This window comes from Homo sapiens, chromosome 3, assembly GCF_000001405.40.
Source record: "Homo sapiens chromosome 3, GRCh38.p14 Primary Assembly".
NCBI classification, from domain to species: Eukaryota; Metazoa; Chordata; class Mammalia; order Primates; family Hominidae; genus Homo; species Homo sapiens.
The window spans coordinates 32,394,266-32,416,569 of NC_000003.12; the positions used below are offsets into that span (position 1 = coordinate 32,394,266).

The 22,304-nt window shown below is 44.9% G+C and overlaps 1 protein-coding gene across 2 annotated transcripts in view, besides 5 other annotated features; it reads left to right on the forward strand.

Moving 5' to 3' along the window:
• Positions 1 to 22,304, forward strand: part of CMTM7 (CKLF like MARVEL transmembrane domain containing 7) — a 63,676-nt gene that overhangs the window by 2,413 nt on the left and 38,959 nt on the right. The gene's annotated exons all lie outside the window — the stretch shown is intronic.
• Positions 6,716 to 7,585: an enhancer, noted in NCBI's record as "H3K27ac-H3K4me1 hESC enhancer chr3:32442473-32443342 (GRCh37/hg19 assembly coordinates)". NCBI's record gives its function as "activates a minimal SCP1, AML or CMV promoter by ChIP-STARR-seq in naive and primed H9 embryonic stem cells {active_cell/tissue: H9 hESC(naive and primed)}" and the evidence as "EXISTENCE:reporter gene assay evidence [ECO:0000049][PMID:30033119]".
• Positions 7,544 to 7,723: a silencer, noted in NCBI's record as "silent region_14168". NCBI's record gives its function as "represses an Ori minimal core promoter by ATAC-STARR-seq in GM12878 lymphoblastoid cells {active_cell/tissue: GM12878}" and the evidence as "EXISTENCE:reporter gene assay evidence [ECO:0000049][PMID:35858748]".
• Positions 7,544 to 8,453: a biological region, named in NCBI's record as "H3K27ac-H3K4me1 hESC enhancer GRCh37_chr3:32443343-32444210".
• Positions 7,586 to 8,453: an enhancer, noted in NCBI's record as "H3K27ac-H3K4me1 hESC enhancer chr3:32443343-32444210 (GRCh37/hg19 assembly coordinates)". NCBI's record gives its function as "activates a minimal SCP1, AML or CMV promoter by ChIP-STARR-seq in naive H9 embryonic stem cells {active_cell/tissue: H9 hESC(naive)}" and the evidence as "EXISTENCE:reporter gene assay evidence [ECO:0000049][PMID:30033119]".
• Positions 12,294 to 12,795: an enhancer, noted in NCBI's record as "NANOG-H3K4me1 hESC enhancer chr3:32448051-32448552 (GRCh37/hg19 assembly coordinates)". NCBI's record gives its function as "activates a minimal SCP1, AML or CMV promoter by ChIP-STARR-seq in primed H9 embryonic stem cells {active_cell/tissue: H9 hESC(primed)}" and the evidence as "EXISTENCE:reporter gene assay evidence [ECO:0000049][PMID:30033119]".

Here is a 22,304-nt window from a genome sequence, read left to right on the forward strand (position 1 = left end):
GTTTAGCCAAGTTTTAACATTGGGGAAGGGCAGAAGCAGCTAAATTAATGCCACCCATTGGGGCTTTCTTTCTATGGGTCTCTCATTTTGACCATCAGTTTCTCAGTTTCATACTGAACAGGTTGACCCTTTTGTCCTCAGCTTCTCATGAAATGTTTTCATCATGATCTGATCAATAGATCTGCCAACACGTTGTCTTAAGAAATCATTGCAAAGGCTGTTCCACTGGAGAATGACTTCCCTTGTCTTGGCCTCTTCTGGGTCCACCATTACTAGAAAATGAGTTTCTGAGTGAATGTGTGTACTTGACATGTCATTTATACATGTGTAATTTTTATAATCCTCTGGCCATGATAATTCAGTTTCTTTGGTCTTCCTTTTTGGAGTAGAGACACAGTCACAGGTTTTGACTTTTGACTTTAAAGCACTCTTTTTTTTCTTTCTTTCTTGAGAGGGAGTCTTGCTCTGTCACCAGGCTGGAGTGCAGTGGAACGATCTCAGCTCACTGCAACCTCTGCCTCCCGAGTTCAATCAAATCTCCTGTCTCAGCCTCACGAGTAGCTGGGACTACAGGCACGTGCCACCACACCCAGCTAATTTTTGTATTTTTAGTAGAGATGGGGTTTCACCATGTTGGCCAGGATGGTCTTGATCTCTTGACCTCATGATCCGCCCCCGCCTCTGCCTCCCAAAGCGCTGGTATTACAGGTGTGAGCTGCCGCGCTCGGCTAAATGACTTTTTTTTTTTTGAGCGAGACAGAGAGGGTCTTGCTCTGTCACCCAGGCTGGAGGACAGTGGTGTTATCATGGCTTACTGCAGCCTTAACCTCCTGGGCTCGGCGATTGTCCCACCTCAGCCTCCCGAGTAGCTGGGACTATAGGCACCCACCACGATGCCCAGCTAAATTTTGTATTTTTTGATACAGACGGGGTTTTGCTATGTTGCCCAGACTGGTCTTGAACTTAGAGATTCAAGGGATCTGTCCACCTCGGCCTCCCCAAGTGCTGGGATTACAGGTGAGCCACTGCGCCTGCATGAGACTCTTTTTTTTAATAGCTATTTTTTTTTAGCCCTATTATTGTTCTAGTAATTACATACTATATACCATGTGTGTATAATCTCATTAAATGTTTCTAAGAATCCAGTGAAGTAACATGTTTGATAGATAAGGAAACGGGCTAAAGAGTTAAAGAGACACTAAAGTCACACAGCTCTTAGCAGTAGTGGTGGAACCGATCCAGGCCTAATGGCCTGATCTCCAAAACTCATAACTCTGGCAGAGTTGTTGCTTGTTAATAGTTCTAGGGATATAAAAGCCACAGTGAGATAACACTTCACACCCACGGAGATGACAACAATAGAAAACAACAAGTGATGAAGATGTGGAGGATGTGAAGAAATTGGAACTCTGATACAGTGCTGATGAGAATGCAAAATGGTACAGCCACTTTGGGAAACTGTGCAGTTTCTCAAAAGTTACCATGTGACCCAGCAATTCTACTCCCAGCTCTACCCAAGAAAATGAAAACAGATGTCCACATGAAGACTTACACATTCATATGTGTTCATAACAGCATTATTCATAATAACCAGAAAATGAAAACAACACAGTTGCCCATCAAATGATGAATGTATAAACAGCAACTAAAACTAAGTGCTACATTCATACAATTGAATATTATTCAGTCATAAAAAGGGAGAATGAAGTACTGATGCGTGTAACCATATAGATAACCATGAAAACACTAAGCTGTGAAAAAAAGCCAACCACAAAAGACCACATTATATGATTCCATTTATATGAAATGTCCAGAATAGGCAAATGCGTAGACACAAAAATAGATTAGTGGTTGCCTAGGTCAGGGAGCAGGGGTTGAAAGGAAATGGGACGTGACTGCTGTAAGGGGTATGGGGTTTCTTTAGGGGGTGATGAAAATGTTCAAAAAATTGGTGATGGTGCCAGGTGCGGTGGGTCATGCCTGTAATCCCAGCACTTTGGGAGGCTGAGGTGGGTGGATCACCTGAGGTCAGGAGTTCGAGACCAGCCTGGCCAATATGGTGAAGCCCTGTCTCTACTAAAAAATACAAAAATTAGCTGGATGTGGTGGCAGGTGCCTGTAATCCCAGCTACTGGGGAAGCTGAGGCAGGAGAATTGCTTGAATCCAGGAGGCAGAGGTTGCAGTGAGCTGAGATTGCGTGACTGTACTCTAACCTGGGTGACACAGCGAGACTCCGTCACAAAAACAACAACAACAACAACAAAATTGGTGATGGTGATGTTGCACAACTCTGTGAATATATTAAAAACCACCGAGATTTATACTTTAAATAAGTAACTGGTTGGTATGTAATTATGTAAGTAGACCTGTGGATGAGTGTGAGGGGGCAAGGTGCTCTGCATGCAGCCACTGGGTGTGGGGAGGCTACAGCTACACTTCAGGAAATCCCTGTGGTGTTCCCACCACATCCACTCCTAGAAGAAGGAGTGTCCCCTGCAGGAGTCACAAAAGCTGGGCTGAAAGGCATCCCCTGAGTGCCTGAAGGGTCTGAGCTGAAAGGGATGCCCTGGGGTCTGAAGGGGTCTAGATATCCTTGCTGTGGGATTAAGGAGACCCCAGGATGGGGCTTGTGGCCCTACCAACACGTCCTATCTATTTGTTCATTCAGCAGACATTTATAACTGCCACATTCATCTCCATTTGTGCAGAATCAGATGACTGTGACAAAGTTCTTGCCCTCAAGTAATCTGTGGTTCAGCTTGTCATGGGAAGAGGGGTCTTGTCCCAGACCCCAAGAGACAGTTCTTGGATCTCGTGCAGAAAAAACTTCAGGGCAAGTTGTAGAGTATAGTGAAGTCAAAGTAGTTTACTAGACGCCACTCAATTACAGAGTAGAGACTCTTCAGAAAGCAAGAGGAGGAACGCACCCATTGCAAATACAATGCTTGCTTATATAGGTTATTAAAAATAGTGTACTTTATTACAAAAGCTTGCGATCAGCTTGTGACAAGCTATTAATATTGTTACTTTCCTATGTGATTATTGATTTTAGCAAGAACTTATGAGTGTACCATTATTTTAAAAGCAGAACCTATTCTTAAACTAAGAATACTTTTTCTTCTTGAAGAACTGGGACATTTCCGTAAGTTCTGGGTCTTTATTTAGTTAGTTAATATTATTAACTCGGGCCGGGTGTGGTGGCTCACGCCTGTAATCCCAGCACTTTGGGAGGCTGAGGTGGGCGGATCACGAGGTCAGGAGATCGAGACCATCCTGGCTAACATGGTGAAACCCCATCTCTACTAAAAATACAAAATATTAGCCAGGCGTGGTGGCACACGCCTGTAGTCCCAGCTACTCGGGAGGCTGAGGCAGGGGAATCTCTTGAACCCGGGAGGCAGAGGTTGCGGTGAGCCGAGATCGCAGCATTGCACTCCAGCCTGGCAACAAAGTGAGACTCTGTCTCAAAAAAAAAAAAAAATTATTAACTCATTCCCTCAACCATAAACATCATGTGACCAAGACTGCCCAACCCCCTGGGAATGTAATCCAGCAGATTTGGCTTTCTCTCGGCCTTTATTCAAGATGGAGTCACTCTGGTTAGGATGCCTCTGACAAGCTGAGGGGATGAACAAGTACCAAAATTGGCTGCTCAGGAAGGTAAACGTTCTGATAGTTGCCCACCTTATGGAAGAGGATCAGAGGGCAAAGGTGATATTTAAATTGCATCTTGACAGATGAGTGTAAGTTTTCAGGTTGGGAGTGGCTCATTTACCCCTTTGGTGCCTTTATTCAATATATGTTTAAGTTAGAGATAAGTGGTATGTTAGGGTTGGGAAGGAAAAAGATGTAGCAAGAAATGAGCCAGAATTGGGGTAATTATCTTAATCTTCCCACCCCAGACATTTAGAAATGGGTGCCATCTTATCCACTGAGCATCTGCTATGCTGTTAATCTTACGCTATGTGAAATACAGCTATTAACAGGATAGACTCTTTCTGCCTGTGCAGAAAAACAGACTGTGACGTTTACATAACCATAACATGGACAGAGAATCAGAATGTATTTCACAAGCGGCAATGATGGAAATCTAAATATCTTCTGGGAGGTTCATTTATTTATTTGGCAAATATTTGTTGATCACCTACTGTGATCAGCTAACTAGTAGGTGATCACGACTGTGTGCTAGGGAACTGTGGAAAGAAGACAGATGAGCCCCTGCCTCTTTATACTCAAATAGAGAAAATAAACATTAATCAAAATGGTTATGAATATGTAATTACAAACAGGTTCGAAATTATGAAGGAGAAGTACTCAGTGGTATAGAGCATATACTAGGGAGTGTGACCTTTTGGGGATTAGGAAGGGTGTTTCTGAGGAAGGGACATCTGATGTGAGCATGAGGAAATTGCATCACAAGCAGAAGAAAGAGCGTTGGCCGGCGCAGTGGCTCATGCCTGTAATCTCAGCAGTTTGGGAGGCCGAGGCGGGCGGATGGCTTGAGCCCAGGAGTTTGAGACCATCCTGGGCAACATGGTGAAACCCGGTCTCTACAAAAAAATACAAAAATTAGATGGGTGTGGTAGCACGTGCCTGTAGTCCCAGCTACTCGGGAGGTTGAGATGGGAGGATCTCTTGGAGGTCTAGGCTGCAGTGAGTGGTGATCGCCACGGCACTCCATACAGCCTAGGTGACAGAACAAGACCCTGTCCTCCCATCCCCCCAAAAAGAAAAGAAAGAGCACGGACCCTGGCTGTTAGTGGAGGGAGGAGTATCTCTAGGGCTGGAGGGGAGAGAACAGGGTGGGAGTATTGGGGATGAGACTGGAGGTATGCAGGGACCAGACTCCAGGGTCTGCCAAATCTTGGTGAATATATAGTCCTTAGTCTAAGAAAAATCAGCAAAGCATCATATCAACTCACCATTCATGAGGTGACTCTTAACTAGGGGCTGTACCGCCCCCTAGGGGTTATTTTGGAATTTTATGGAACCTTTTGTTTTTTTTTTTTTTTGGTTGTCACAGGGATTAGGGTTATATTACATATACATCTTATTCATTTCAGAATAGTAATGCAAACTGGAATTTTGACAGTGCAATTTTGACAGTGCAAAATACTTTATATCCTAAAAGGATGTTTTGTCTGAAATAAGATTGAAGGAGCCTTCCCAGACTGGGTGCTGGGGGGAGTACACTAAGGTTTCTTGGCAGGAGAGCGGGTCCTGGAGACCCTCTAAGAGGCCTGGGCAATTCCAGGCTTCACTTTGAGAATTCACAGGTTAGGTGCCAAGTGGAATTCAGCTGTGGGGGATGTCAGCCTCTGGTCTAGCTGTGAATAGACCTGTTAGCACAGAATAGCCCAGCATCATCCAGAAGGGCCCATCCCTTTATGTTCTGCTTTAGATGTGTATGGCGGAGGGCGAGGAGGGGGTCTAGTTTGGTTCCCAAGTGCAGTCTGCACACCCATGTCCTACTTCCTGGAAGTTGGAGAGTAAAAAGCAGCAAAGAACCTCACTGCCAAGATTCTTTGACCTCAGCCCATTCCTGACAAGAAACTACTGTCAGTGACCAAACAAATGCAAAAATAAAATATAATAAAATAAGTTATTGGCTTTATTCCTAACAAAAGTAATACTTGTTCATTGTGGAAACTTTGGGGAGCACAAGAAGAAAATAGACTCACCCACTCCCTCTTCCCCAAGATTAAAAAGTAAAACTAAAGTATTTTATAGTAGATACACATAATTTTGGTGGTGGTTTGTTTTTCTTTTTTAATTGAGACAGAGTCTCAGTTGCCCAGGTTGGAGTGCAGTGGTGCGGTTTCAGCTCACTGCAACCTCTGCCTCCCAGGACCAAGCGATTTTCCTGCCTTAGCCTCCCAAGTAGCTGGGATTACAGCCATGTGCCACCACACCCGGCTAATTTTTGTATTTTTAGTAGAGACGGGGTTTCTCCATGTTGGCCAGGCTGGTCTCAAACCCCTGACCTCAGGTGATCCACCTGCCTTGGCCTCGCAAAGTGCTAGGATTACAGGCGGGAGCCACCTTGCCCGGCTGGTGGTGTTTTTCTTTAAACAAAACTAGGATGATTCTATACATATTTTGTAAATGCTTTTCTTTTTTTTTCTTCTTCTTCTTTTTTTTTTTTTTTTGAGGTGGAGTCTCACTCTGTTGCCCAGGCTGGAGTGCAGTGGCGCGGGCTCACTGCAACCTCCACCTCCCGGGTTCAAGTGATTCCCCTGCCTTAGCCTCCCGAGTAGCTGGGACTACAGATATGTGCCACCATGCCCAGCTAATTATTGTATTTTTAGTAGAGACGGGGTTTCACCGTGTTAGCCAGGATGGTCTTAATCTCCTGACTTCGTGATCCACCTGCCTCGGCCTCCCAAAGTGCTGGGATTACAGGTGTGACCCACCATGCCTGGCTGTAAATGCTTTTCTTGCTGTTTGTTTAGTATGTGGTGCATTTTGTTCGTCTGCAGTTTGGTTTCTAACAGTGCTGTCATAGCCAGTCATGGAGGTACCCTGGTTGTGTGTACCATGGTACACTGTGGCTCTGGGAGCTTCCAGTTCTACCTGCATACAAAGGAGGCTGTGATGAACCTCCATGTAGAGAATCCTGGTGTACAAATCTGTAAATACTTCTTCAGGATAATTGGCACTGACCTTTTCCAGAGAGAGAAATGAAGTGTCTCTTGCCCTTCTTAGGTGGCTGGCATAAAACAATTCTCTAGACTTTTTAACATCTAGAAATTAATGAGTGCCCCTTTATCATCCAAGAGTTTCAAGGAGCCAAGTGTGATAGTAATAGTATTTAAGCTGTAATCATATTTTTGGTGTCTGATGATTTAGAAAAGGAACAGTGACAGACAGACTAGAAAATTCAAAAATGCTTTTAAATGCTCTTGTATTTAAGTGATGGCCACAGTATCTGCATATATTTGAAGAATGGAAGTTCCACTCTTGCGGAAGGCCTTACCTATTCAGGCTGCAGAGCTTAAGGCTTTTGTAATCACCGGCAAGAATTCCCATCCAGGACACCTCAAATAACCACTTACAGCCCGACTGGGAATCACTGGCCCGAGTGAGGCGATAGGGATGGAAATACCAGCCCAAAGTCCTCCAGGCTGCAGGCAGCCAGGGCGTAAGTGGGTAGAGGAGGGGTTCGGGGTCGGTGTGAGCCCCATAGGTTTTCTGGCACTGCAGGGGCCCTAGAGACCCCGGCCCCGCAAGCACGCCAGGACCCTGGAATCCTAGGGGATTCCCTGTGTGGGCCGGTGTATTTATTTAAATTCCCGTTGCAGCGAAGGCCGCCCTTCTGTCTTCCTGCCAGCCCTGGCGCTTCCTGTGCAGCGCCACTGGACAGCCATCTGTTTCCTCCCCTCTGCCATCTGCCTCGCGCCGGGCCCAGCGTGCGGCCCTGGAAGCCTGGCTCGGCCGCCGCCCGCGCACGCTGGCCTTCTTTGTTACTACTTTGGCTCAGTGGTTTCCTGGGCTCGCTGCTCATTCCCTGGCAGGGCTCGCGGCGTCCGCGGCGACTCCTGGGATCGGCAGGGGCCTGGCTTCCAGCCCAGCGCCGGCAGCAGCCCGGGGGCTGCGGAGCGGAAAGGGGGCTGGGACGCGGTCACTGCTCCAGCCACCCGGCGCTCCTGGGCGGAAATCGCGAGCAGAGCCCTTCTCAGCCTCCTGCAGAAAACGCGCCTCACCTGACTTGTGTTTAAATCAGCAAGGGCAGTGACGCGGCTCTTCCTTTTCCTGGGGCAGTCACTCTCCTCCCTCTGCTGAGCCCGCTCTCTTTAGTTTACTTTAAGCAAAGGTTTTGTTTGTTTATTTGTTTGTTTGGTTTTGGTTTTTTTGAGACGGAGTCTAAAAAGTCTTCAGTCTGTGGCCCAGACTGGAGTGCAGTGGTGCAATCTTGGCTCACTGCAGCCTCCTCCTCCCGGGTTAAAATGATTCTCCTACCTCAGCCTCCCAGGTGGCTGGGGCTACAGGCGCGCGCCACCACGCCCAGCTAATTTTTGTATTTTTAGTAGAGACGGGGTTTCTCCATGTTGGCCAAGGTGATCTCGAACTCCTGACCTCAAGTGATCCACCCGCCTTGGCCTCCCAAAGTGCTGGGATTACAGGCACCAGCCACTGTGCCCGGCCAGTTTACTTTAGATAGTTAGAAAGACCGATTGATAACCAGAGAGGCGGTAACCCGCAGTTTCCACTTACTACTCCCAAAGGGTTGCCCTGAAGCTTCAGAAAAAAGCTGTGTCATGCTCATTTGTTTTATTTTATTCTATTTTGTTTATTTTATTTTATTTTATTTTTCGAGACAGAGTCTCACTTTGTCGCCCAGGCTGGAGTGCAGTGGCATGATCTCGGCTCACTGTAACCTTCGCCTCCTGGGTTCAAGCAATTAATTATCCTGCCTCAGCCTCCCAAGTAGCTGGGATTACAGGCTCCCGCTACTGCGCCCGGCTAACTTTTGTATTTTTACTAGAGACAGGTTTCACCATGTGGCCAGGCTGGTATCGAACTCCTGACCTTGTGTTCCGCCCACCTTGGCCTCCCAAAGTGTTGGGATTACAGGCGTGAGCCACTATGGCCGGCCACTCATTTTTTTAAAGAGAAAAATGAAGATCCTTCTGAAATAAATGGGAAGGGGAAAAGGAGAAGTTAATTAAATGCTTTTGGGTACAGAGTGAAGTGGAGCCTTCTGGAAAGCAGAGAGAATTACTGTATCGTGACTTCTGAATACTTTGTCTCTTTTTCCTCTTCAGATTTCCTTATTCCCTGAGAAGCCAGCGTCAGCTCTCAACATTGTTTGTGAAAAAATCTACACTTTAAACGTTTCCTCTTAAGTTATGAGAGTGGTACTTAACTAAATAATAGCACTTTGACCTCCTTAGGTGACAGCCACTAGGCTAGGTGGTTTATGTTTTGTTTTGTTTTGCTTTTTGTTGTTCTTGTTGTTTGTTTTTGAGACAGGGTCTCACTTTGCCACCCAGGCTGGAGTGCAGTGGTGCTATCTCTGCTCACTGCAGTCTTGACTTCCTGGGCTCAAGCGATCTTCCTGGCTCAGCCTCCCAAGTATTAACAATTGGGGCTACAGGTGCAGGCCACCACGCCTGTCTAATTTTTTGTAGAGACACGGTTTTGCCGTGTTGCTAAGGCTACTCTTGAACTCCTAGGCTCAAGCAATCAGCTCACCTCGGCCTCCCAAAGTGCTGGGATTGCAGGCATGAGCCATGGTGCCGGCCGGGCTAGGTGTTTTTTATATGTGTTACCTTGTTTAATCCTCACAACAATATTATGAGGTGGGTCGTATCATTATCCCCAACTCATCGAGGAAACTGAGGCACAGAGTCATAAATACTGAAGGTGGATTTGGGGCCAGGTGGTCCAAGTCCACCACTTGAGCTCTTAAAAGGACAATTTGGGGTCTTTTTTTCATGATCATTATGTTGTGTATATTTTCCTGTGTCATTAAACACTGAAAATGATGTTGTGATCACTGCATTCAGTCCATTATTTGGTCGTACTATATAATTTGTTCATTTGGCTCTTCCTTGATGGGCAGGCTGTGGCAGATCTAGAAGGAGGTGCTATGAGACATAACAGCAGGTGCTAGTGATGACTTCATCCTTTGCCAGAGATGAATTCAGCTGGAGTGGGGAAAACTCCTCACTGGGGTATTGAACGGACTAAGTATACACCATATTTTAGGAAGCATTTTCACATTACCCAACGTTATTATTATCTTCATTTTTATTTCTAAGTTCCTCCAGGAAGGACTGGGAAGAGAGAGAGGATCTAAAGTTTCAATTCCTGCTCTATTATGTCTGCTGATTTTACATGCAATTTCCCTTTGTTTAATCTTTTCTTTCTTTCTTTTTTTTTCTTTTTTTTTCTTTTTTTTTTTTTTTGGAGACAGAGTCTCACTCTGTTGCCTAGACTGGAGTGCAGTGGCTCAATCTCGGCCCACTGCAACCTCCACCTCCCAGGTTCAAGCAATTATCTTGCTTCAGCCTCCTGAGTAGCTGGGATTACAGGTGCATGCCACCATGCCCTGCTAATTTTTGTAATTTTGTAGATAACGGGGTTTCACCATGTTGGCCAGGCTGGGCTCGAACTCCTGACCTCAAGTAATCCCCCCTCCTTGGCCTCCCAAAGTGCTGGGATTACAGGTGTGAGCCACCGCGCCCAGCCTGTTTAACTCTTCTAATGACTCTGTGGAGTATTCAGTTTTTCCTCCTTTTGCTTGAACAGAAGCTGAGAGGTTAAAAGTTAAATACATAGCTGTCCAAAGTTGAATACATCTGTTAAGTTGTGGAGCCAGCATTTGAACCCAGGTCCAGCAAGTCTTCTTTTTCCACCGTGGTGTGCTATCTCTCCATGTATGGAAAGCCGTCTCCCACACTAGCCCACCATGGTATGCACACCTGAGGGTGACTCCCAGTCAGTCACATCCTGTGTAATTCCATCCTCTTGAGTGTGAGTGGAATCTCTGACTTGCTTCTAACCAATGGAATATGGCACAGGTGGCAGGATGTCATATGCCAAGGTGAAGGGATGTTACAGAAGCAGTTAGAGTCCCAAAGGAGTTGATTGTGAGTTAAAAGATTTTCTCCAGGTGGGCCTGCCCTCATCAGGTAAAAGCCTTAGAAGAAGTACTGGGTCCTTCCCAAAGGGAGAGAGTCTCCTGCTGGCTCTGAAGAAGTGAACTGCCTTGTTGAGAGAGGGCCTGTGAGGGGCCATGTCACAAGCATCCAAGGGTCATGCCTAGAAGCCAGAGCAGCCCTCAGCTGACAGCCAGCAAGAAAACGGGCCTTCAGACCTATGGTTACAAGAAACTGAAAGCCACTAACAGCCATGTGAGCTCGGAAGAGGACCCCAAGCCTGGCCAACCTCTTGTTGCAGTCTTGTGAGACTCTGAACAGTGGACTTCTCCCCAGACTCCTGCTCCGTGGAAACTGTGAGAAGATAAATGAATGTTGTGTTAAGGTGCCAAGTTTGTGGTAATTGGTTGTGCAGCAGTAGATAACTAACGCAGTCACAAAAGCCTTTTTATCCTGCATCAAAGCTGGATCTCTGATGGCTGCTCCTTAGCAAGGGAAGATGGAGCAATAGCAGTGCAGGGGGCAGCAGGCTCAGTGGCCATGTTTATCACTGGGCTGTGGTCACATGTCATTAGATTCCTGTGGAGTAAATCCATGTGTTAAGTTATTGCTCTTGGCATCCTGTGGCCTGTTTTACATGCAGGAGCTCATTCATCATTACCATATCCCTATGAGATGTTAGTATTCCTACTTTACAGATGAGGAAACTGAGGCAGGGAGTTTAAATATCTTGTCTGAGCCAAGTGTGGTGGCTCGCGCCTGTGGGCCTATCTACTCAAGAGGCTGAGGCATGAAGATTGCTTGAGCCCAGGAGTTCAAGGCTGCAGTGACCTATGATCTATGCCACTGCACTTCAGCCTGGGTGACAGAGCAAGAACCCATTTCTTGAAAAATTAAATAAACAAATAAATATCTTGTAAGTTATACAAACTGACTCCATCTCCAAGCTGTCAGCCTCTTCTCCGTGGTGTTTTCTTGGAGCAAGTCCAAAGCAAAATCCTGATGCAAACAGTAACTATGGTTGTACATTGTTAAGTTGTATTTACTTTTTTGAATAGATAACGTTTACACGATCAAGATTCAGAATGTACCAAAAGTCCCCCAGTTGTCAGTTTTCCTCTCTGGAAATATACAGGAGGCTACTGGTGATACCAGTTTCTTGTGTAACCTTTAGGAGTTATTTCACACTTCTGTGTGTGCCTCTCCTCCTGTGCCAGATAAGAGCATACCTACGCCCACTGCTCTATACTTTTATTACCTAACTTTCTGACTTGGAGGTAATTCCATATCCATTCAGAAGGTGTCCGCATTCTCCTCCTTTTTTATAGCTGCATTGTATTCCAGAGAATGGATTTACTATATTTATTTAACTAGTCCCCTACTGACAGCCGTTTAGGGTATTTCTCCCTTTTGTTATCTAGCCGTGCTGTAATGGTTACTCTTGTACATATCATAGTCTTGTGTATGTACAAGAATATGAGAAGGAGCAACTCCTGGAAGTAGAGGACCTGCACCCAATGTTGCATGCTTTTCAACATTTTTGCATGTGTTCTGAAACTCAGCTTCTCAAACATCAACTTGTGATCTTCTCCCAGCGGGCTTTAGGGGTCTTCCATGTCTGCTGTCATGGAGAAGGACTCTACTTAGTGTTGGGACAGTGTTCAGAGTTCCACTGCTCTCATATCCCACTCAAATTTCTTTAGCATATTAGGAACCAGCGGAGTCTAAGTAGGGAACAAGAAGACCTGCTTAACTAGCATTTTTCTTAGTGTTTCCCAAGGTTCGTTACAGGGAGTGTTCAAGTCAGCTTCCCTAAAAGCAGAACTAGTAGATATGGGGATTCTTGTGCAACTGGTTTATTGAGCGAGGAAAGTAAGCAAGGGTAGAAAGAGCAGGACAAAGACGAGTTTCAGAAGCCCAGCCTCAGCCTGATTCTATGGGGAACACTGGAGAGTGAACTGCACCACAAAGATTGCCCTATTTTGAGGCAAGGGAGCTGGGCTTTTGTACACCTTTCATTGCCTACAGACCAGAAAGGAGGGTACATAAACTCCCAGGGATCTCTGAATCAGACAGCTCTAGTTGTCCAAGGGAAATCACTAGCAGAAGGCTGCAAGCATAATGAGTTAGCAGCAGCACCCGCAGTAGCTGGGGGATGGATGCACAGACCTGGTGAAAGGGAACCTGGGAATCTGAACAGGGCACCAAGGGAGTCCCTGCTGGTATTCCATAGGAGCCATTTGAATTGTAGAATTGCCTCCCATCTATCTGGTGTCTGCCAAGGCTTTAAGCTGTTGTACTTTGGGGACATACAAATCTGACCGCACCTTCCTTCCGCTTGCAAACCTGGCTTATTTGTTTTCTTGCCCAGGCATGCCCCTGGATCTGCCATGCCAGGCAGCTGCCTTACAGATCTCATAAGATTTTTGATGTTACTTTTTCCTGTCCACTGAAAGAGTTGTGTTATATTTTTCAACTCTCATTTGAAACAAGGGAAGGGAAAAAAATGTTTACTGAACAGAAAATAAAAGTTAATGGGAAGCCAAATTATTTCTGCAGCCTTTTATGGGAGAGTTACAAGAAATGTCACAGTAACACAAATAACTCGACCACATCTTTTGTAACTCCTTGGAAAGCCGTAAGGCCACAACCACAGAAAAAGTTTCCTGCAGATCAGATATTTGATTTCTGGAGTGGGGGCCTTCGTGACACATACTGTTTTCACCTGGGAAAGGTGAAAGAGGCAACACAGACCCTTGTGTTGATAATGTGACATTGGTTTTTCAAGGGTTCCTCAGTGTCCCCATTATCAAGCAGTGCGTCTTGTTTTCTGGCTACCATGTTGAGCAGAGGAAAGAACTCTGTAGCATAACATGCATCCCCTGGGCCTGATGGGGGTCTGCGTGCTGACGGGAAGTCTACGAGGTTTGTGATGACATATATCCTGAATTTATGGATGTGATCACTACTGTAACTTATAGTTGCCTTACTGTAGTTTAAGGATAAAAGATTATTTTCTAGATGTAGTGTGTTGAGTGATGGCCCCTCAAAATATGTATCTTACTTCCCAGAACCTGAGAATGTTCCCTTACTTGGAAAAACCGTCTTCTCACATGTAATTAAGTTAAGGATCTTGAAATAAGGGGATCACCCTGGATTATATGGGTGGACCCTAAATCCAATGACAAGTGCCCTTGTAAGAGACACACAGAGAAGGTGATGGTGACATGAAGGCCAGGCAGAGAGTGGCGATGCGTCAAGGAAGTCTCTCCCAGAGTCTCCGGAGGGAGCACTGTCCTGCTGATGCGTTGACTTCAGCCCAATGATAGCGATTTCAGACTTCTGGCCTTGAGAACTGTGAGAGAATAGATTTCTGTTGTTCTAAGCCACCAAATCTGTAAGCTTGCTACAGTAGCCACAAGAAATGAATACAACCAATTAAATATTTTCCATTACAATCAGATGCTAAAAATCTTCAACATTGTAGACTGTAGACATTTAATATTTTCTCCTTTTAGAGGTGCTTTGCTCATTTCTAGGAATTAACTTTCGGAGAGGTGATGGCCACGCTGTCTGCCTCTCAGAATGGCAATGACATCTCATCCACTTTGAGTACATCTTTTTTCCTTGATAGCTTATTTAATGAGAGAAGCAGTCCTTGAATTTCTGCTGAGAAAAACGGAACAATAAAGACAGAAGAAAACATCAGAGAGTGGTTCTCAGATGGCAGGGTGGGGGCAAAAGATGGAAAGGACGTTCCAAAGAAGCATTGCTTCTAGCCTTCCACAGATGATGAATAAAGTATCCCCAGATTCCCCCAAACCATCAGAATGCCAAATAAATCTTACTGCATCCTAGTAGAATCTTTAAAGATGAGCTACTGCAGCCCAAAAACATATGTATTAAAGTGGTCAAATTAGCATTGCTTAATCTAGTACTTGTGAATTGGGTGCTATCTTTTTAGTGTTTGTAGAAGTATCAGATGATTTTAAGTCTCTTAATTATATATTTTTGTAACTTTTTTTTTTTTTGAGACAAAGTCTCGCTCTGTCGCCAGGCTGGAGTGCAGTGGTGCAATCTTGGCTCACTGCAACTTCCACCTCCCGGGTTCAAGCGGTTCTCTTGCCTCACCTCCTGAGTAGCTGGGACTACAGTCACGCGCCACCATGCCCAGCTAATTTTTTGTATTTTTAATAGAGGCGGGGTTTCTCCATGTTGACCAGGATGGTCTCCATCTCTTTCCCTCATGATACGCCCGCCTGGGCCTCCCAAAGTGCTGGGATTACAGGCATGAGCCACTGTGCCTGGGCCGTAACTTTTTATTTATAAATAATCCCAGGTTTACAAAAACTTTTGAAGAACAGGACAAAGAACTCCCCATATCCCCTTGCCCCAGGTTCTCCGTTTGTTACCATTTTACATTTGTTTGATCGTTTTCCATTTGTATGCATGCTATTATTTTTTTCTTGGAACCATTTGAGAGTGAGTTGCAGACATCATGCTCTTTTGTCCATGAGTGCTTCAGCATGCATTTTGTAAGAAGAAAGACCCTTTCTTACATAATTGCAGTACAGTTACTTAAATCAGGAAATTAATGATACAAATGCTATTAACTTATCTACAAGCCTTACTCAGATTTTGCCATTGACCCACTAATGTCCTTGGGTCTAGGATCCCATCCCAGATCATAAGGTGTATTCAGTTGTCACATCTCTAATTTCCTTCAATCTGGAACAGGTTTTCAGTCTTTCTTGTTCTTCATGACGTCAACATTTGTGGAGAGTCCAGGACACAGCTGTCCCTTCATTGGATATTAAAGTCAGTTTGGTGGGACCCTCTGATTCTCAGCATTTTGTAGCTACACTGGAGGCAGAAGACAAAGAAAGAAAAGAAATCATGTTTGGCATAACTTGTCTCAATTTGAATGCTTTTGTTTTCACAAAAGTCCCTTTTGCAAATGTCTTATCTGAAGTTAATAGTTAGTAGTTCAAGTTGAGCTTTGCTGGATGTCCTGTTCTTTTAAAAAGCCTTAGCTCAGATGTCACCTCCTTGGGATAGTGGCTAACTAGCAAGTCTTATTGTATGAATTTGATGTGAATCACCTCATTTAATCCTCACAATAGCCCTATCATTTAGGTACTCTTATTTTGCGTATTTTATAGTGAGGAAACAAAAACAAACCCAGGTCTAGGGTGCTCTGCTTCCCCTCTGGACTGCCCCCTCTCCTGCCTTAGGAGGGCCTTCGTCAGCCCCTCAGCTAAAGTAGTCCCCTGCACCACCCTGCTACCATCACTCTATCCTGTTTCCCGGTTCTGATTTCATTACAGCACTTTGCCAGCCAGAATCCCTTTGTTCACTTAATTACCTGTTTATGGTAGATCTTCTCTACCAAGACCTGAGCTGCAGAGGGGCAGCCACCTTTCTGTTCAGGTCACCACGGAGTGTCCAGTTCGTAAGGTGGTGCCTGGAACACAGGAAATACTCATCATCTTTTTTCAAATGAACACATGCATATTTTCTTTGACAAAGCCTTTGGTAATAGCACTCCTTTCCAAAGAGTCAGCATGGATGAAGTGCTTGAGAGACTTGGGTCTTCTCCAGAAGAGGAAATAATGCTGTGTCAGACACCTGCTGAGGGAGGGGGCTGGGGTGTGGGCCCAGCAGTGGAAAGAGCCCTTCTGCCAGGCCCAGAACAGGCCATGGGGCCTGGGGCACATATCTTCAAGCCTGCGGGCCAAGAAGCTGGGAAAAGTCACAGAGAGGCTAGGATGCCTAGCAAAGAGAGGCTAGGATTCCTGTCCTGGAGCAGCCCACTCCCACCCCCCACAGTTTGCGATAGAGATGCAGTTTTCGTAGTAGCTGTTAGCCTGTTGTGATAGCACCTTTCTTTTTTCTTTAGTTGAGTTGACAGGTTTCGACAGACTCACAATCAAAACAACAGAAGCAAACAGAGACAAGCAGAGGGATGACAGAAGTGTCTGTCAGCTCATCAAGCTCTCAGGGCAGGGTTTCTAATTTAAAGCAACACCAGGAAACACTGAATAGTGGGATTACTATATTGGATTAAAGGCTAAAAGAATCAAATGCCAGAAGTGGCAAGCTCAGTTTGTGATACCTTTCCTCACTCGAGTGTTAGCCATTTGGTGTGGCCCTTTGCCTGGCAGAGGCGCTACCTTAAGTCACTTCATCAGATGTTTATTGAATGGCTGCTCTGTCCCAGCTCTGTGTCAGCCGCAGGGGATACAGCTGTGAATGAGGCAGAGCCGGCTTCCCTGTCGCTGAAAATCAAGACCCTAAACAAGGATGGTATTTCATCACCTCGAAGGCACCATTGTTTTAGGCACTCCCTAAGAAACAAAGAAAAATAATAATTATGTGGTAACACAAATCTCTCTTATCGTTCAGGATTTTTGTCTTATGCTTATTGAAAGAACTCTTTTAGATTTAATTAAATATAAATTTTACATATTTTTGTGAATATATAAAAAGGAAAATAGGTGAAGAAAAATAAATTGGTTAAGATATCCCTAAAATTTTTTTACAGTCAGAGCCTTCCTCTTCTAAATCTTTTTATTTTTAGAATATTTCTACACAAGCTATTGTCCTCTATGCTATCAAGAGTGTGAGCCATGCAGCATTTCTCAGAAGAATCCACACAAAAACTAAAAGCCATCAGTGCTGGGTTTGTGCACTGGCTTTTGACTCCCACTTTGGGAATGTTGCTAAGTGACCCCCTGAGTCACTGTCCCCGCCATCAGTCCCATACCCTGGGGGTCAAGGTGCTCTACTCTTGTCTCTGAGATTTTCTTCCTCCTGCTGGCACCTATGACACACGTTTTGATGCTGGTGTGTCTGACCTTGCCACATGCATAGGCAGTGATAACTACACAACTGTTTTTCCAGTGGTCATTGAAACACCCCGACTTGGCCAGGCGCAGTGGCTCACGCCTCTAATCCCAACACTTTGGGAGGCCGAGGCAGGCGGATCATTTGAGGTCAGGAGTTCGAACGAAGCTCCAGGCTGAGACCTAATGCACGGGAAGGGGCAAGGCAGGAGGGAAAGGTGGAAGGGTGTCCTGGAGAAGAGAACAGTCTCTGCAAAGTCCCAGAGTTGGGAGAAAAAGTACAAGGTTTGCAATCTTCTTGGTCAGTTCATAAAGTAGGCTTTTTGGTAGTGGTGAAGTATGGAGGATCTGTTAGCCACAAAAATGTTAGTGGTTCCATTGGGCTTTGCCAACATCCGCACCATAGCTAACTGTCTCGTAGAAGCTGCTGGAGGAATTAATGATGCAGTGGGCATGTTAATATACCTAAATTAAAATATTCATTGCAGCCTGGGTGTGGTGGCTCACACCTGTAATCCCAGCACTTTGGGAGGCCGAGGCAGACAGATCACCTGAGGTCAGGAGTTTGAGACCATCCTGGCCAACATGGTGAAACCCCATCTCTACCAAAAATGCAAAAATATTAGCCGGGTATGGTGGCGCACGCCTCTAGTCCCAGCTACTCGGGAGGCTGAGGCAGGAGAATTGCTTGAACCCAGGAGGCAGAGGTTGCAGCGAGCTGAGATCATGCCACTGCACTCCAGCCTGGGCAACAGATTGAGACTGACACACACACACACACACACACACACACACACACACACACACACACACACACACACACACTGCATCATTAATTCCTCCAGCAGTTTTTTTCATCTGGGTCTTAAGTTGAAGGGATTTTATAGACCTAGCGTTTTTTTTTAAGTTTTTGAGATGTTTGTTACTACACAAATATGAATAGGGAAACATTAATATAATTAAATCTGAAAGTTATTTGAAACAACTAAATTCACCCATGCGCCCACCATTCCACAGTTTCTACAATGTTATATTTTGGCCCTTGTTTAAGAATATGTGTAAAGTTTGCAGGGCTGTTACCCTACTGACAATAATAGATTCTGCTTTGTTGCTTATTTTTCTATTACAAAATTTAATATTTGGTAATGTCCCTGTTGCTATAAAAGCTTCATAATTGCACATAATATGTACAATCATCTAAGTGGATATTTTTAAATTTATGTGACCACTCACTTTTAAACATGTAGGTTTGCTTTTGAGCTTTTAGCTACTATAAATGATATTACATTGAACATTTTCAGGGGTTGGCAAACTACAGCCCACAGACCAAATCTGGCCTGCCACCTGTTTTTGTAAATAAAGTTGTATTGGAACACAGCCAAACCCATTCATTCATGTATTACATATGGTCACTTTCACACTAGCACTGCAGAGTGGAGTTGCAATAAAGATTGTGTGGCCCGCAAAGCCTAAAATATGTCCTATTTGGTCATTTACCAAAAAGAAATGGCCAATCGCTGTTTTACGGTATGCAGTAGAGTTTTCTTTTGACTTAGATTATTTTCCTTAAGATAAATTCTGAGAGATGGATATTTATTCACAGGATATATAACTTAGTTTGTTGATTTCAAAATAACCTCTATTTGTAACATGATTATGACCTTAAAGACAGTGACATATCAGAACAAATGAATTAGCTGATTCATTGATACATTCATTTATTAACTGTTATAAGATTAGAGTGATTAGAAGATATTATTAACACACCTTTGGTCCATTTCATTTGTACTCAGAGGTAACTAATCTTCATCTCCATTATAACTCCTCTAATAGCACCCAGTTCTTTTCATTCACAGTGTTTCTCATAGTTTTAGATTTTTTTATTAGTGCAACACTAGCTGCTGTAACAAATAACTCTCAAATGTTACTGGTTTGACACGATAGCTTTCTCCCTCAGCCATTTAGGAACCCCAGCATGGGGGTTCCTGGTCAGTAGGCAGCTTTTTTCCTATGTGGCTATTCAAGTTTGGGCCAAGATTTTTCTATTCTTTTTAAACTACTTTTTTGGGGAAAGAGCCCACTTAAACAGTTGCAGTGGCCATACTGGTGTGTGCCCAAATATCCCCTTTATTGCTGAGGCATTCATCCGCCGCAGGTTCCAAGAATGTGGCCTGCTGAGTCCCTCCCCACAAATTGATGTCCACCAAAGGGACTCGCCTCACCCAAGATGATGCCTAACCTCTCCCTGGGGGCAGCCTGTATCCAGTGGTCAGTGGAGAGTCAGGAAGGCCTGGTCTGCTTGCTTCAACAGAGAAAACTCTGAAGAGCGGTCCTAGCTTCAGTGCTCCTCGGAGTATCAGCCAAGGCCTTTGTTATGACTGCTCAAATCCTCCCTCCACCTGGTCCTGTCTTGCTTACTCTCCCACTGTAATCTCTTGGAGAGCACTCCCCAGTTAACTTTTTGCATGCAAATCTCTTTCTCAGAGTCTATTTCCAGGGAATTCCACCACCCCAGGACCAAATGACCAAGCTACATTTTCTTGGTTCAGTTTTCATTCTCCACGTTCCACTGACGTTGAAAATTTGCACCTTCTTTACCGCTGTATTTCAGCACTGCGTTCACAGCTTCTGTTTGGTGCAAGTCTCTGCTCGTCCCCTCATCTTTGACATTTCTTACTAAGGCTCCTTTTATTGCCTCATTACTTTAGGAAGAGGTGAAGTACAAATTACCAAGATAATAAATATTCAAATTGCACAGACCATCTGCCCCTGAACAGATGTCCACTCTAAGTCAATGTCAATCTCCATCCCTGGGGCAAGGGGAGAGGTGAAGAAACTTTACCATTGAAGCTTCATGGGAGGAAAAGGGATGCTGGGGAAGTGTGGCTTCTCTTGAGTTTCTGATTCATACACAGGAAGAGATTCCTTCCAGAAAATTTAGCTAAGGAAGAGGAAATGATAACCCAAGAATGTTATGATATGGAGCCTGCCAATTCTTTACGACAACGGAAGTGCTGCAGGGACCCAGTGAGAGTTTTACTTTTGCATTTAGCTCTTGTGGGCAGAGCATGTGATGCATGCCAGGAACTGTGCGTAGTGCTTTTCAGGTATTGGAAGAGCTCTCTAAGTGGGGTACTATTTGTCACCTCCACTTTCCAGGTGGAAAACAGGCCCTGGGAGGTTACATAGCCTTTCCAGGTTACACAGCTAAGAGGCAATGGGAATTTGACCCCAGAACTGTTTGACTCCAAAGCCAAGCTCTTAATCTGTATTGTCTTGCCTCTCTTCTGTAGAGGCCAAGGTTGTCCACAGTCTAGCCCAGGGACCAGCCAAAGTACTTTAGCTGGGGATGGAAGTAAACCTGTTCAAAACGCAGATTCCTGGGCCCCAGCTCAGACCCACTGGATTAAAAACTCCTCTGGCTGACGAGATCACGCCACTGCACTCCAGCCTGGGTGACAGAGCAAGACTCTGTCTCAAAATAATAATAATAATAATAATAAACTTTGGCTGAGGGGCCCAGGGACCTGCATTTTAACGCATCCCCTTGTGGATACACTCTCTAAAGGATGAGAATGTCAAGTAGTGACTTTCTCACTGCCATACAGATCACAGGCCACCTTCATAACTTCCCTTGCCTTGTGTCAAGCAAACCAGCAGGGACCTGAGACCATCAGCACCTTTGTGACACCTGCAGGTCGTCTTCCACTGTCATGCTGCCTTTTCAGTAGGCCCTCCCGTTGGGATTAAGTACTTTCTTTCATGCTACTCTTCATCTCCTGATAAGGGAGGGAAACTGAGGCAGTGGAACTGCTGGATTCCTACTCCTCAGTGAAATCTTGGGTACATCACCTGCCTTCTCTATGCCTCAGTTCCCTCTTCCGTGAGATGGGGGTGATAATATTACCTGCTCAGGGTTACTGTGCAGATCTTCTCTGAAGTATTTAAGCTCTGAGTGAATGTTAGTTATTTTTTTATTACCTCCTTTCAGTAGTCTAGTGAGATCTTTAATCTTTTCTCCAGAAGTTAGCTGGGTCTGTTCTTGCTATTCCATATTCATAATATTTTCTACAAGGTCTTCATTTCCTTTTTCCCTTTGCACATCTCCAACTTGCCTCTGCAAATCTATGCTAGTCCCTTTGATAAGAATATTAGATTAGCACAGGTCTGTGTCTGCATGAGGAGAGAGCCCACTTGGTCTTTGTCCAAGGTTTCTCAGACGTTTCATTTTGTATTTAGCTGTCATCTGTAGAGCATGTCATACATGCCAGGCCTGTGTTTTTGACTTAGCATAGACATCAAGGTGATGAAGAAAGACTATTGGGTTGGCTCTTGGCTCTGCTGCCCACTACATGGGTAGGTAATCTTGGGTAAATCACGTCCCTTCTCTTGGTCTCAGTTTTCTCTTGTGAAGTAGGGGAAAAGTTTTTGAGATCAGCATTGTTCTAATTATGATATATATGTGCACATAAGTACTTTTTTGTGTTTTGTTTTGTTTTTGAGACAGAGTCTTGCTCTTGTAAACCAGGCTGGAGTGCAATGGTGCGATCTTGACTCACTGCAGCCTCCACCTCCCAGGTTCAAGCAATTCTGCCTCAGCCTCCTGAGTAGCTGGGATTACAGACGTGCGCCACCATCCGGGCTAATTTTTTTTTTTTTTTTTTTTTTTTTTTTTTTTTTTTGAGACGGAGTCTCGCTCTGTCCCCCAGGCCGGACTGCGGACTGACTGCAGTGGCGCAATCTCGGCTCACTGCAAGCTCCGCTTCCCGGGTTCACTCCATTCTCCTGCCTCAGCCTCCCGAGTAGCTGGGACTACAGGCGCCCGCCACCGCGCCCGGCTAATTTTTTGTATTT